Genomic DNA, 14551 nt, shown 5'->3' on the forward strand with positions numbered 1-14551 from the left:
TCAAAATACTCTATTCTGAGTCTAAATCCTCAACACAGCATTGCCAGTTTTTTATAATCCGGCCCCTGCACCACCTACCCCACCCTCGTGCGTGTGGCGCTCTAAACTTCCTCTGTTGTTTCTAAGAGTGCACCATGCTCTCTTCTCACCTCCCGGCCTTCATACCCACCGTTCCTTCTGACTGGTATAGCCTCTCTGCCTCCCCTTCTCTACTGATTCCCGTCCATCTTTTGAGACAGCCCCTCCGCAGGAAATTTCCCTGCACCCTCCTGACTGTGTGAGGTGTCTCTCCCGGGGGCACCCACACCACGTGCCTATGCTCCTGCAGCACTTCTGACTCTGGAAAAAAATATGTCCATGCATTTATCTGCCTCTCTTCCCAGTCCTGGAAGACAGGAACGGTGATTCCAATAGCTTGCAGGGTGCTTCTCACTAGCAAGGCACATCAACCTTTGCTGAATAAACGACCTCAGGATAAGGTAAGGCATTCCTAAATTACTGCTGTTTCTGGGACTAATTTTGATAATTTTATCCTAGTCCCAACAAGGACTCTCCCTTTGTAGAGACAGCATTCACAACAAAATGAATCTTTCTCAAGACTAAAATAAAGAAAAGAGCATTTCCAGGTTCAGACCTGCTCACAGAGTAAAATAGACAAGGCCAGTCCATGCCTGTCTGAGTACACGAGCTGCATTCTCTGTGAGTGCCCCGGTCACCTCTTGGGACACAGCCCACCAGCAGCAGCCTTGCCTGAGACCACACGGTGCTATGTGGGTGCTGGAGATGCCAGGAGGCAAGGCGGGAGGCATGGGAGGCACCGGCCTGGTTCCTAAGAAGCTCAAGTGTCCAGTGAGGAGAAATGGGCTGGAAAGTAGAAAAAGACAACGTTGTTTCCAGGAAAACTAAAATCAAAGTCAAGGAAGTGAGGCCAGCAGTCACTGCTCTAAGATGCAGGGGCTGTCCTCAAGGTGGCCAAGGAGCTCCAGGAAGGCAAGACTTTAGGGAGAGGAGAAACTGAGAAAGGCTTGAAGGTCAGAAAGAAAGCAGTGTGTTGGAAGGTAACGAGAAGGGGCAGGGGAGAGACAAAGGAGACGCATTTGGGAGGGTTTTAAATACTTTGCTAGTGAATTTTATTTTTTGCCTGTTTAATTAATTTAAACCTGCTAATGAATTTAACTTTTCATTATGGGGGCCATTAAATATTTTTGGGCCAAAGAGAAAGTGACGTGCATGCCAAGAGGTGTTTGATGAAGATGAAGCAGGCAGGAGTCCATAGGTGGTGGTTAGAGAGTAGAGCCGGGGGGCCCGGCAGTCCAGACTCCAGGTAGCTTGGCCCTAACAAGAAAGGAGCCAGCGGGAGAAATATCAGGCAAGTAACTTGCCCTGGTCCTGCAGCGGCAAGGTGGCAGTGAAGCTGGGACATGAACCCAGGGGTCTGACTCCAGCAACCTCACCCTTTGCTGCTAGGCACACCTGCATGGCAGCCTCCTAGCTGTACCTTTCAAATAGCTGTGAGCAGCTTAAGGCTTCAATAGCTACATAGATGCATTTCTAGCAAGTGACAAGAGTGCTATTAATTATGCTAATGTAAGGGTCATTATGCATTTAAGTGCAACGCTAGTCTCTTACAAACACTAAAGGAGTGGAATTGGTCTTCTTCCCTTTCCACATACCCGACAGTTGCTTAAGACAGTCTTCCGCCACACTAGGTACTTCGTAAATGTCCATTGAGTGGAAAAGTCCAGTGGCCAGCGGAAGTCACTAGAGTGAGGCTGTGTGAGTCCAGACACTTTCATGTGTCATATCTATAGGTTTCCATTTGGAGGCTGAATGACATCCACGATGCCCTCTGTCCTCTTTCACCGACACGCTGCACAGGTGGTTTCTTCACAGGCCTGTTTCCTGAAGGACGTCCATAGGTGGGGCCCAAGTGACCATTAAAAAAAATGGTTCAACTGGGAATTGGCACCTTTTTGCTTGTGTCCAGTAACTTTTTAAAAGTTGAATATATTGTCTAAACCTGGCCCTGTAGTCTTGCAGGGCTAAAAGACTCGCAGGGTCCCTGCCTGACAACTAAGAAGGCGTGTAGTGTTAGCGTCCTCTGTATTGCATCACTGTAAGGTGGCATTCTGAATAAAGGGACTTAAAACAGTATGTCGCAAGAGAAAAACAATTCTATTATACCTAAATTTTAAAAACTTTTGTCTTTCTTCCCCTCTTGTAACTAATAGATTAGTTTGAGCATGAAAATAAACTGGGGGGAAGAATGGCCTCCTTCGTTTGCTAAGGTTTTTTCCTTTTACTCACTATTGTGAAATGCGATTCTTTAATAGATGGTGTTTAACGCTCTGTGTTAACTTCCCTTAAGGCTCTGTTGAGCATGACAAATGTGTGGATCATTACTTCCCAGTTCTCCTTGAGAAGATAAAACAATAATACATTGAAGTTTGTATTTTAACCCAGTTTTTCCGTGTGAGGCCTTTAATTTTTAGTGTTGCTGACAAATATCTGTGTCCCATTTTCCAAGCGGATGCTACCCTTCCCTTTATGACGTCATCGTGGTTGGCCGTAGTCTAGCTCCTCAGTGCATCCTCCACAGGCTCTGCCGAGTGGGGGTGTTGGTGTCAGTGCGGCGCCATTGCACGCTCACTTCTGACTCTGAGGAGGACTACGGAGCAGTTGGGTGTCCTTCACAGTTTAGGAAGCAAGGGTCGCTGCTTTTGAATCAGATACCTCTCTCTGGAATGAACCTCTTAGAATGCGCCCAGGATTGCAAATTCGCTTCCTGTCTCTGCAACATGTCATGGAAAGTTTTGAGCTGTGAAACAGCCTGTCCTTTTATCTTCAAAGCCTGAAAGCTCTTGGATCTAAGAAGGAAATCATTTATTTGGGTTGAAAAAGACAATTTGGTTTTAGGATGATTAAACATAGAGTTAACAAAAAATGAAAACCAAATGACTTTTAGCCTAATAAGAAACTCACACGTTTATAAATCTGCTGCTCTTAACTCATTAATGTCATCCAAAAACCAGGCATCCTACTGTTGGAAACTGCAATATTGAAGTACAAAATGGGTGGGGTGAGAGGAAACGAGAATCTGCCAAGCAGAAGAGTCTGTACTCCAATCGCCTTATTAGGAGCTCCAAGAAAGCAGGCAGAAAAACAGAGTTTGAAATAGAACTACCAATCATGGGGCAATAACAAGAGGGTCCAAAGTTATCCCCCCACACACATGTGCACACACACCCCACAAACCTATAAATGTTTGCAAAGGTTACTTGCTTACTAGGCCAACAGGCATTCCGCTAATCACCATGTCACTGAATTGCAGGTTCTTCCGAATCCAATTAAGAAGAGCAAGGTCTGGTAGAAAGAAAGTGACTTTTTATTCCAAAGCTACTTTAGGGGAAGAAGTACACAGGCTTCCTGCTTTATGGGTACCACTTCACTTTTGGAGCAGAAAGTGGGCAATTTTGGCTGGGCGCAGTGGCTCACACCTGTAATCCCAGCACTCTGGGAGGCTGAGGCAGGTGGATCACCTGAGGTCAGGAGTTCGAGACCAGCCTGGCCAACATGGGAAAACCCCGCCTCTTCTACAAATACAAAAAAGAGCCAAGCGTGGTGGCGGGCACCTGTAATCCCAGCTACTAGGGAGGCTGAGGCATGAGAATCACTTGAACCCAGAAGGCAGAGGTTGCAGTGAGCCGAGATCGTGCTGTTGCACTCCAGCCTGGGTGACAGAGTGAAAAAAAAGGAAGTGGGCAATTTTAAAGTGTGGGGACTACACAGTGGTGGAAGTGAGCCGGTGAGTGGGATGTGGCGGGGGTCTGTGTACTCCCTTCAGTGCCTTATCTACTGGCCAGTTGAGTTGGTGTCTTCCTGGGAAAAAATAGGTTGTAAAGGTGGTCAAAAACTCTAGTGTGCATACTTTGGTTGTAAATGGGCTGTTATCTCTTCAGGCAGCCTCCTGGTGGGTGAGAGTTCTGCTCTGGAGCTTCTAAGCACATAGTTAGATGAACTTGCCCTGTAGGGAGCGTCTGGTGAAGAGGAGGTAAAAGGCTATGATTACATTTCTAAAGGGCTAAGTAGGAAGTGTGGAAAAGTAGGAAAGAGAAAAAAGAGAGAGGAAAAAAAATAAAGTATCTCTTAGAAAAATGGGGGTACTAGCCGGGCATGGTGGCTCACGCCTGTAATCCCAGCACTTTGGGAGGCCAATGTGGGCGGATCACCTAAGGTCGGGAGTTCAAGACCAGCCTGACCAACATGAAGAAACCCCGTCTCTACTAAAAAATATAAAATTAGCTGGGCATGGTGGCACATGCCTCTGATCCCCACTACTCAGGAGGCTGAGGCAGGAGAATCACTTGAATCTGGGAGGAGGAGGTTGTGGTGAGCTGAGATCGTGCCATTGCACTCCACTCCAGCCTGGGCAACAAGAGTGAAACTCCATTTCAAAAAAAAAAAAAAGAAGAAGAAGAAGAAGAAGAAGAAAAATTAGGGTACTAGGTGGTTACAACCACGGCCTCAAAGGACTCTGATAGATTAGGTCTGATAATAGTTATTTAAAACATTATTATTAGGTTATTAAATGACTAACTGTGAGCTTAGTCAAGGCGCCCAGCCTGTGTGAGCCTCAGTTTATTAATCTATGAAATAAGTTAAGTAATTCCTTTTACACAGGGTTGTGGGTGGGGATTAACAATAAGGTGGGTGAGCATCGGCACAGTACCTGGGGCAGAGCAGACGCCCACTACACAGTGCAGATTGCTGTGACTTTTTTCTTATTTATAATTAAGGTACGAAGATAAGGAATTGAACAAAATGAATTTCAATGGTCTTTTTCAAAGGAATATCCAAGTGCTAAGGTAGCTTTTCTTTAAAATATTGCTTAGAGTATCCTATCTTTGTGGATTTTTAAGACTGTGGCTACGTGTGTGTGTGTGTGTGTGTGTGTGTGTAATAAAACCTGCGTATAGAGCTATTTTTAAATCTTAAATGTGTGGAAGTGTCACGTTTAAAGAAAAGGATATCTTTAGGTAAGACAGTTTGTAATAGAAACCACTGTGTGAAATTATTTCTAGAGAACTGTTTATATGGTACGCCATCTATATCCAAAAAAGGACACAGGCAAAGAAAATGAAAAGTTATAAAAAATAAAAATCGATTTTTAAAGGTTTTTTTAAGACCAACTACAAAGCAATAAAAATTGGGAGAGAGTTGTATCTAAAAACCTAAGCCAATATACCTTTTATGACTGAGCACAAAAAATCTAGCTAAGAGCTAAGGCAAAACAAGAAACACACAAGTTGTACAGCTTTCAATATGTAATAGAAGGAAGTTCATCAATTTATAAGGCCTCCATTTTGAAAGGAACCAGTCATATATAGGTCTTTATATAATAGTGATTTTATATGATTGTTCCTTACATGGATCCTCTTTCAAAGTCAAGGGTGCCAAGGATTTGTAGGTCTTTGATGGGATTTCCCTGGGGAACCAGTACAGCATAGCCTGGGTAGGTAGCTTTCTGGTGATCAAGTTGGCATGATGTTAGATGTTCACACACTACACATAAGGGTGACCCAATGAATGAGGAGAATGTGAGCTGAGCACTAATGCCTTGGTGGTGTCTATTGCATGCCAAGGAAAGCCCAGCTGTTCTCACTGGGTTTCCAGCCACATCTCCCTCCCTGGTGTCTGGCTTTGGCAATTTCCTTGCTGCACCTCTCTCTGAACTTCTGCTACCATCTTCCTTGATGCTCTCCAATACAGCTTTCTGAATGGTGAGTCACACCAAGCTTTATTCCTTTACTATTTGGTACCAATGCGGCTCAACTAGAAGGAAGTTTCCACTGTTATTTGCATGTTGTCTGGTCTCCCCATTCCGGAGTAGAGTTTAATTAGGGAGTCTAGAGCCATCTCGCACCATCCTTTAAACTTGTGCCCTATTTCTTGATAAACATAAGAAGCTCAGCCCACTCATGGGGGATGCACAAAGGATGAGCTTTGCAATTCCATTAGTTCTATCTGCCAGAAGAATCCACAGAGCTTCACGTTCTGCAGTTTTTATTTTTAAAAATGATAGGTCATTTTTCACTTTGCAAAAATGAAATTATATAAATTTAAATATTCCTTTTCCAAGCCCACCTCCCCCAGACTCCATTGTTGGGAAAGGGTATGTCCCCTCATCTCCAAGAGCCACTTAGAGGAAAGAAAGGTTATCAGGCCCTTTGGCTCTTTATTGAAACTCATCTTCCTTATTGCTGTGTTTATTCATGCAACACAGGAGTTAGAAAAAGTCTGATAACAACAGGTGACTTGCTTGACAGGCAGGTATTCTGGGTGATTGACTGAAAAGAAGGCCCAAAGCTTTGCTGGCAATGATTGTAGGAAGCAAAATTACAAATTTCTTGTGAAAACTGAAGAGCCAATTACATTTTGATATAATTCAGTCAATTACTGGATGAAAGATCATCCAGCCTGGATGAAAGATCATCTCATCTCCACCCAGGGTGGATTAGAGGAGAACCTGGACGCAGGGCCAAGACTTTTCTCAGGAAACGATTTCCTGAATATGTCCAAGTGCTGAAGTGCCCAGTTAAAACCCCAGGCCTTCCCCTGTAGAGACAAGACAAGGCCTAGGAGAGCTTTAACATGGTTTCTAAAATGTGTGGTTTTGAATGGCCACATTATGTGACCTGCTAAAATGGGCTGGTCATCAAATACACCTTCAGAAAAGTTAACCTGCTTAGGGGGATTTAAACAGTCCTCCTGGATGCTGAAGAGAGTTGCCAAAACCAGTAACATTTAGCAAAATGTATACTGGGTATGAATATTGAGCTGTACTTTCTGATTATAACTGGACAGCAGGTTTTGCTTCCTCCTGAGAAAGGTTACTGGCACATGAGAGGAAGACCATGTCATCACAAGTCACTCGGCACTGCAGAACATATGCTCACCTGAAGAGAACATCCATTTTTTTAATGTTATCAAACCAGAAGTTTCGAAGGATAGGATTATAACATCATCTAGTGTCGTACCACTTGGAGTTGAGATTTGCCCTCTCAGGAGCCAGTTTTTACCTTTTTGTGCCTTGAGGTGGTTCTTTTACACATTCTTCAGAGGTGGGCGACACACCCTTATATAGGCCATTCTGGGGCAAGCTTTTATGTAGAGAATCAAAGACCAGTGGTTGATTAATAAGTTTCCAGAGTTTCAATATTGCAAACGTTTTCTTAAATGAAGCTGAGTGTGGCAATAGTTCACCATAGAATAATTCTACCTTAGAGTACTTGCTTTGCATGTCATATATAATACCAAGAGGCTCAGGCCTGTGGTTTCTAAAGAAGAGAGCTGGTGTCTATTGACAAGAGCCTGAATGTTTCCCCAAAAAATCAATGCTGGAGAAACTTCAGATGTGCAAGAGAAGCAGGCATGGATCTGAAGAGAGACAAGGAACGGTGAGACAATCCTGGGGAGACTGAAGTTTGTGCTAACCGGCAGGTGAGGGGCAGGTGGGTGGGGCTGTCATCAGCAGAAGGATGGAGTTCAGAATGACACAGGCTCAGTATGTACTGGCCCCAGACGACTCTCCCAACATCATCTCCTGCCTTCTAATGTAGCAACACAAAAATGTGAATCCCAGGATGGCCAAGAGCACTGATTCTGTAGATTTGTTATACCTGCCTGGAACCCTTTGCAGAGGAGGAAGAGGAGAGATTGCTGTGGTTGGTTGGCTCATCGGCCATGGGTTTGGGAGGTGGGGAGTGATGGGACATGCTGTGAATTAACAAGCCTTTACTAGATGCTCCCCCCACACACTACGGTTTGCATAACTTCATGCCTTTGAAAAAGCTGTTGTAGCTGACTTGAAGGTTGTTTCACACCCTTCCACTGATTAAATTTCTACTAACACTCCAAGACTCGGCTCCATGATACTCTTTCTCAGAAGCATCTCTTATGCCCTTCCCACCCCTAGCTTCTTGCCAGCAAAGAGAGTGTCTGCCTTTCTCTGTGGCCACAGCTGTGGCTCCAGCACAGATCACATGGTACTGGTAGCACTTGTGTATGGATCCATCTCCCCAGCCTTGAGCTCCTGGGGAACAGGGACCATGTTTTACAACTTCTTTAATCCCCTATGGGATGTGCAATGCCTGGCATATAGATGCCATTTGATAAATGCTTAATTAATTAAATATCAATGTCTAACTAGCTAATGGATTATAATGGGTAATTAAACACTACAGAGGACCTGTCCAGGATGGTTCTTTGAAATTCCTGCCTTGAGGGAGGGTAAACTTAGCTTCACTTGGCCTGGCTCATCCTACAGGTGGGTGGGCCTGACTCGATGGCACACCTCCCTCCAGAAGGCCTGCCTGTTCTTCAGGCCGAGGCTTTCCTCTGAGCGTCCTCCAGCTGCCTTCTCTGTGCAGAGCTTGCCTGCCTAGCAATGCTGGCCTATCTCCTCCTGGACCTGAAAGATGGCCTTGTTCCAGCACACCCCTGGGTCTGTCACGGGAGGCTTCTGGTTATTTTGCAGGCAAAACCTGGCCTGTTGGACCAAAACCTGGCCTGTTGGACCAGCCAGAGTGAATGATTTTTAGTGCAGCTCTGCACTTTAGGGTTGGGGTGCCATCCAGAGTCACCCCCGGAGTGTGGGATACCCCTTGCCCTCTCACCCCTCACTGCACCCTTCACCCTGTGCATAGCCCTGTGCTGCCGCATCTTTGCTCCAAGTGCTTCCTCTACCTGCAATTCTCCACGCCCTTCCCCTGCAGTCCGCTGGTGAACACCCACTCATCTTTGAAAACTCAGCCCAGCATCATCTTTCCGGGGAAGCCTCTTCGGATCCTCCCCCTACTTCCATCCCCCGCCGCTCCTACCCCCCAGCAAGCACTGACCCCTCCCTCTTCCAAGCCTTTCTGTCCTAGTCCCCATCACTCCATAATGATCCTAGCTGTAGGACATGGTCTGCTGAGATTCCTGCCGTGAGGCCAGGACAATTAGGGACAAAGAGCCAGGTGTTTCCATCATCACAAGAAACAGTCCTGGGCTGAAGCCTGAGCCACTAGCCCCAGATGCAGCAGGCAGCACCTGGCACAGCAGTGTTAGGAAGGTGGGCTGTGTGATCCTGCTGAGTGTGGATGATCAAAGGCCAGTGTATGGGCAAGGGTGGGGGCACAGGTGGGCTGGCAGCCAGAGAGGCCAGGCTCTCCAGGTGATGAGGCCACCGGCTGTGACTTTTGGGCCTGTCTCAGGAATTTGTCTGTTCTCAGTGGTGACATGCAGCTTTGAAGCACTTCTTTCTTCCCTCTTCTGCTGGAGAAAAGAAACTAAATAGAAGCACAATAATATTGCAAAATAAATTAAGGTCTTTCCTGCAAGGAACACAAACATCCTTAGCAGGGTGGAGAGGCCACCTGTGGCTAAGAATGAGAGGCAACAGCTCAACCCTGAGAGACAAGGAGCCCTGTGCTGTGGTGACAAGCCAGCTGCAGAAAGACCCACTCAGAAGAGCTCTGGAGTGAAGATTCCCCAGTTGGTTGACAGGAGATTGAGAATTTGAGAAAATGCCACCCAGTCTTTGAAGGCATTTCTTCCATTGGTTGTTCTTCAAGAGCCATCTGCTTCAGGAGCTAATATTAACTTTAACTCTTTCAGGGAAGACATCACTCTTCAAAAATTAGACAGAAAAGCATCCAGAATTCCCATCACCTCTATTCAACCTGGTTTTGATGTTAGCCTTCGCGTTCAGGCTGGGTGGCCATAGCATGCTAAGCATGGTGCAATAGCGTATTCCTACAGGGGACAGAGGTGAGCTTTTACAAGCTGGCTTACCTCTTAAAGATTAACTTAGCAAAACAGTAAACACCTACCACTTATTGTGTGTAAGGCCCTGTTCTAAATACTTTATATAGATTAATTCATTACTCTTCCCAGTAGCCTTGTAGGGGAGCTACAATTATGATCTAGATTTTATAGATAAGGACCTCAGAGGCAGAGAAAGGCTCACTAACTTGCCCAGGGTCACACAGCTAGATACCGGTGAAGCCAGGATTCGAACTGGGCAGCAGCTGGGCTGCAGAGCCTCCTGTTAATCAACGTGCCATCCTGTCCTTTAGCACGAAGGCCATGCATATAGTGAGGTGTGCAGGATGCAAAGGATGGTGGCCTCTGCCAAGGTGGGGTCATGGAAATGCTAAGCGGATTCTTGCAGTGACTATTCATGGGTGAGGATGGATGAGGGGAAGAAAAGAAGGGAGGAGGTGCTGGAGCATCCAGTGGGGGCTCAGGTCAAAGAGGCTATTACCAGGGTGGGCGATGACCAGGAGCAGCCAAGGGCTGGTACAGATGGGCCCAGGCGAATGTCAAGGCTCAACACTAGAGAGGCCCACTAGATGAATCCCAAAGGTGAGGTGCTGGACAAATGCAGAAGCCAGCGACATGGATGAGGAAGGAGAGGCAAGCCCCTATGCAGAGAGGCATGGTGTGGGGTTAATACTGCTGCCTGAGCCCATGGGTTCAGGCTACTGTGAGGAGAAGGCCTGGGTTAGGAGGGTCACGGACAGCAGAAGTTTGAAGTCTGGGCCCCACAGTAAAGATGCCACCATAGTGGCCAGGAGTGGTGGCTCATGCCTGTAATCCCAGCACTTTGGGAGGCCGAGGCAGGCAGATCACGAGGTCAGGAGATCGAGACCATCCTGGCTAACATGAGGAAACCCTGTCTCTACTAAAAATTCAAAAAAATATCTGGGCATGGTGGCGGTGCCTGTAGTCCCAGCTACTCGGGAGGCTGAGGCAGGAGAATTGCTTGAACCCGGGAAGCAGAGGTTGCAGTGAGCCGATATCTCACCACTGCACTACAGCCTGGGCGACAGAGCAAGACTCTGTCTCGAAAAAAACGAAACAAAACAGGTGCCACCATAGAAACCTGAACAAGGACGGACTCAGGAGGAGGATGTGGTCAGGAATGTTTGGGCTGGATCTCTGAGTTGTCTGGTCCCGCAGCCCAGGATGCAGCCCTTCTCCCTAAAAGGCCCAGGGGCAAACCTCCCCTCTGAGGCCACAGCTTCATTCACTCTGGCCTCACCTGCTGGCCCACCTCACTAGGCTCACCAGGCAAACCTGCCACCACAGCATGTCCTATAAATTTTAGGTACAGAGCAAATGCTAAACTAAAAAGCACGAGCACAGAAACCATTAACAATATACTGGTGATCTCATAATGCCACTGCGGAGATTTCCCAAATAAATAATTTCCTTTCCGACCACCAAGTATCATCATCATACAAACACAAGAAGTTTCCACTTACTTCCGGCCATTCCCCCTCAGATTTACATTCCCGTCGTGACATGGGACCTCGCTGCATTTCAATGCATTACTTAATCAAATGGTTCGCTGGTTGACCCCGGCGGGTCTTCAAGTTGGGATTATTTATGGATATGGTTTCTTGCATGGGGTCACTGTGGGGCCTAATCTACATATGTCTCTCAAGAGCTGGGAAGTTATTTGCATTAAGAACTCCAAGGTTTCTTGGGAGGACCTATAAAAGGGATGCAGAGTAGCTTATGGGCATTTTCTCTACATTTAGGGCGCAGGTGCCCAAAGGGAGACTCTAGCAAAACAGCCAAGAGAGCATGCTGGGAAAGCAAGCCCCCACCACAACTCAAGAGGGAGCCAGTCCACACTAGCCCTGCTTCCTGGGGCCACTCAGTTGCTACAGACTCCTCACTCCCTGGAGGCCTTTCCTGAAGAGGAGTGTAGACTTGTGAGCCAGACTGCAAGAGCAATTGTCTTCCACTACAGTTAGTTAACAACATTCCTAAAGCACATCCTGGGGCAGGAGGTGTGAGCCGAGACCAGCCACTGTGATCTTTACTCTCAAAAGCTCTTCAGTCCTGTGAATAATGAAAGACACCAACCAGGGCTGCGATTGGGTCTTTATGTTACTGTTTGGTATCTGGGTCTTTATGTTACTGTTTGGTATCTTCCCGGTATCTTCCCCGTGGCTTAAGCCTTCCAGCATTAGGAAATGTCCCTCCTTTGTCTCTAGTAACTTGCTCTGAAGTCTGCTTTATCAGATAAGAATATAGACACTCCTGCATTTTTTAAAATTAATGTTTGCATGGTATATCTTTTTCTATCCCTTTACCTATGTTGTTGTATTTGAAGTAGACTGCATAGGTTGAATCATGCTTTTTTAATCCACTCAGTCAATTTCTGTCTTTTAATTGGTATATTTAGACCATTTATATCTAAGGTAATTGTTGATGTCTTAGGGTTTAAATCTGCCATTTTATTGTTTTCTATTGTTTCTTTTGTTTCTAATTCCTCCATTTCTCTTATCTTCCAATGGGTTACTTGAGTATTTTTTAGGATTTCATCTGATGTACAGTCATGTGTCACTTAACATTGGGAATACATTCTGATAAATGTGACATTAGGTAATTTTGTCATTTTGTGAACATCAAAAGTGTCCTCACATAAACCTAGGTGGCATAGCCTACTACACACCTAGGCTGTATGATATAGCCTATTGCTCCTAGGCTACAAACTTGTACAGCATGGTGCTGTACTGAATATTGCAGGCAACCGTAACATAATGGTAAGCATTTGTGGATCTAAACATATCAAATATTAAAAAGGTACAGTAAAAATATAGTATATAAGATTAAAAAATGGTACACCTGTATCAGGCACTTACCGTGAATGGGGTCTGTAGGACTGAAAGTTGCTGTGGATGTGAGTGAGTGGTGAGTGAATGTGAAGGCCTAGGACATTACTGTCCACTTTTTGTTGTAGTATGGTACAATTTTTATAAACACTAGACACAGACTGCACTAAATTTACTTAAAAAAATTTTCTTCAACAATAAATTAACCTTAGCTTGATATAAAGTTTTCAACTTTATCCTTCAATGTTTTTAACTTTTTGACTTTTATAGTAACAGCTTAAAACACACACCCATTGTATAACAGTATAAAATATTTTCTTTCTAGAAGATATATAGAATAAGATGTAAATCTTAAATTCTATCAGATTTTTCTATTTTTACATTTATATATATATATTCTTTTTACTTTTTAAATGACTGACAGCACAATAGGTTTGTTCACACCAGCATCACCACAAATATATGACCAATGCGCCACGCTATGAAGTTACAGTGGCTACATCATTACTAGGAAATAGAAGATTTTCAGCTCCATTATAATGTTATGGGCCACCATTGTAGATGTGATCCATCACTGACTGAAACATCATTATGTGGCACATGACTTGTATTTACAGTGTTTTCAAGTATCTTGTTTTGCACCATTTTCTTAGTGGTTGCTATAGATATTACAAGATACACACATAGCTTATCACAGTCTACTGGTATTGAAGTTTACCACTTGACTGAAGAATAGAAACCTTACTTCCATTCTTGTCCCTTTACTTTCCCTGCTTTTTAGATATAATTGTCTCAAGTATTTTCTATACCTATACTGAACACCACATTAGATGGTGCTAAAATTTCTGCTTCAACCATCAAATATGATTTAAGGAACTCACGAGAAGTAGGATAGCCTATTTTCTCCTATTTTTACCCACTCTGATATCCTTTCTTCCTTTTTGAAGTTCCAGGCCTTCTTCTGTTATTATTTCCCTTATGTATAAAACTTCCTTTAGTCATTCTTAAAAAATAGGTCTGCTAACAACAAATTCTCTTAGTTTTTGTCTGATAATGTTCTTTATTTCCCCTTCATTCTTGAAAGATGTTTTCCCTTGATAGAGAATTTGCAGTTGGCAGCTCTTTTAATACTTAAAAAATGTTGCCCAGTTCCTTCTGGCCAGATGAGAAATCCACTGTCATTTGAACTGGTGTTCCACTACAAGTAATGACTGTTTCTTTCTGGGCACCTTCAAGAATTTTTTTTTGTCTTTAACTTTTGAAGTTTAATTATGATGTATCTTAGTATGAGTTTCACAGCATTTTGGTTTAACCCTTTTGGGTTTCACTCAGTCTCTTAAATCTGTAAATTTATGGCTCAACCCCACAGATACCTTCCCAGCAAAAATAGGGCAGGGCATAAACTCACCTTGCCCCCTTACCTCCAAGGGTGTGGGCTGTTTCCCCCCTGGGCCCCACTGACACCTAGGAAGGGGAAGGGAAATCAGAATCAGCTAGTGCCACCTCCTACTTCATTCTGCCTCTTTAATACCAGGTGTGAGGCTCTGCTAGCCACTGGACTTCATTCTACATGATCCTAATGGGGAAATAAGAGCACCATCTGCTTCCACAGAGCAGAGGATGGAAGTCTAACTACCCATTCAGCCCACAGAAAGCACCCAGCAGGTGCTCCCAGCACCATGTCAGAGACAAGAGATGAGGGATCTGCTTAGCCCTATTGAGTAGGTTAATTCAAGTGCTATTACCTACTCTGGCAGGGCAGGAAGGCTGTGGTACATCATCTCCCAGCTCAGCCCTGCTGAAATTCCAGGCTAAGGCATATATTAGTCCATTTTTCATGCTGCTGATAAAGACATACCCAAGACTGGGCAATTTACAAA

General features: G+C 44.8%; 2 annotated features.

The window, feature by feature from the left end:
• Window positions 8131–8877: an enhancer, noted in NCBI's record as "H3K4me1 hESC enhancer chr13:30752927-30753673 (GRCh37/hg19 assembly coordinates)". NCBI's record gives its function as "activates a minimal SCP1, AML or CMV promoter by ChIP-STARR-seq in primed H9 embryonic stem cells {active_cell/tissue: H9 hESC(primed)}" and the evidence as "EXISTENCE:reporter gene assay evidence [ECO:0000049][PMID:30033119]".
• Window positions 8878–9623: an enhancer, noted in NCBI's record as "H3K4me1 hESC enhancer chr13:30753674-30754419 (GRCh37/hg19 assembly coordinates)". NCBI's record gives its function as "activates a minimal SCP1, AML or CMV promoter by ChIP-STARR-seq in primed H9 embryonic stem cells {active_cell/tissue: H9 hESC(primed)}" and the evidence as "EXISTENCE:reporter gene assay evidence [ECO:0000049][PMID:30033119]".

This window comes from Homo sapiens, chromosome 13 (assembly GCF_000001405.40).
Source record: "Homo sapiens chromosome 13, GRCh38.p14 Primary Assembly".
In the NCBI taxonomy this organism is placed as follows: Eukaryota; Metazoa; Chordata; class Mammalia; order Primates; family Hominidae; genus Homo; species Homo sapiens.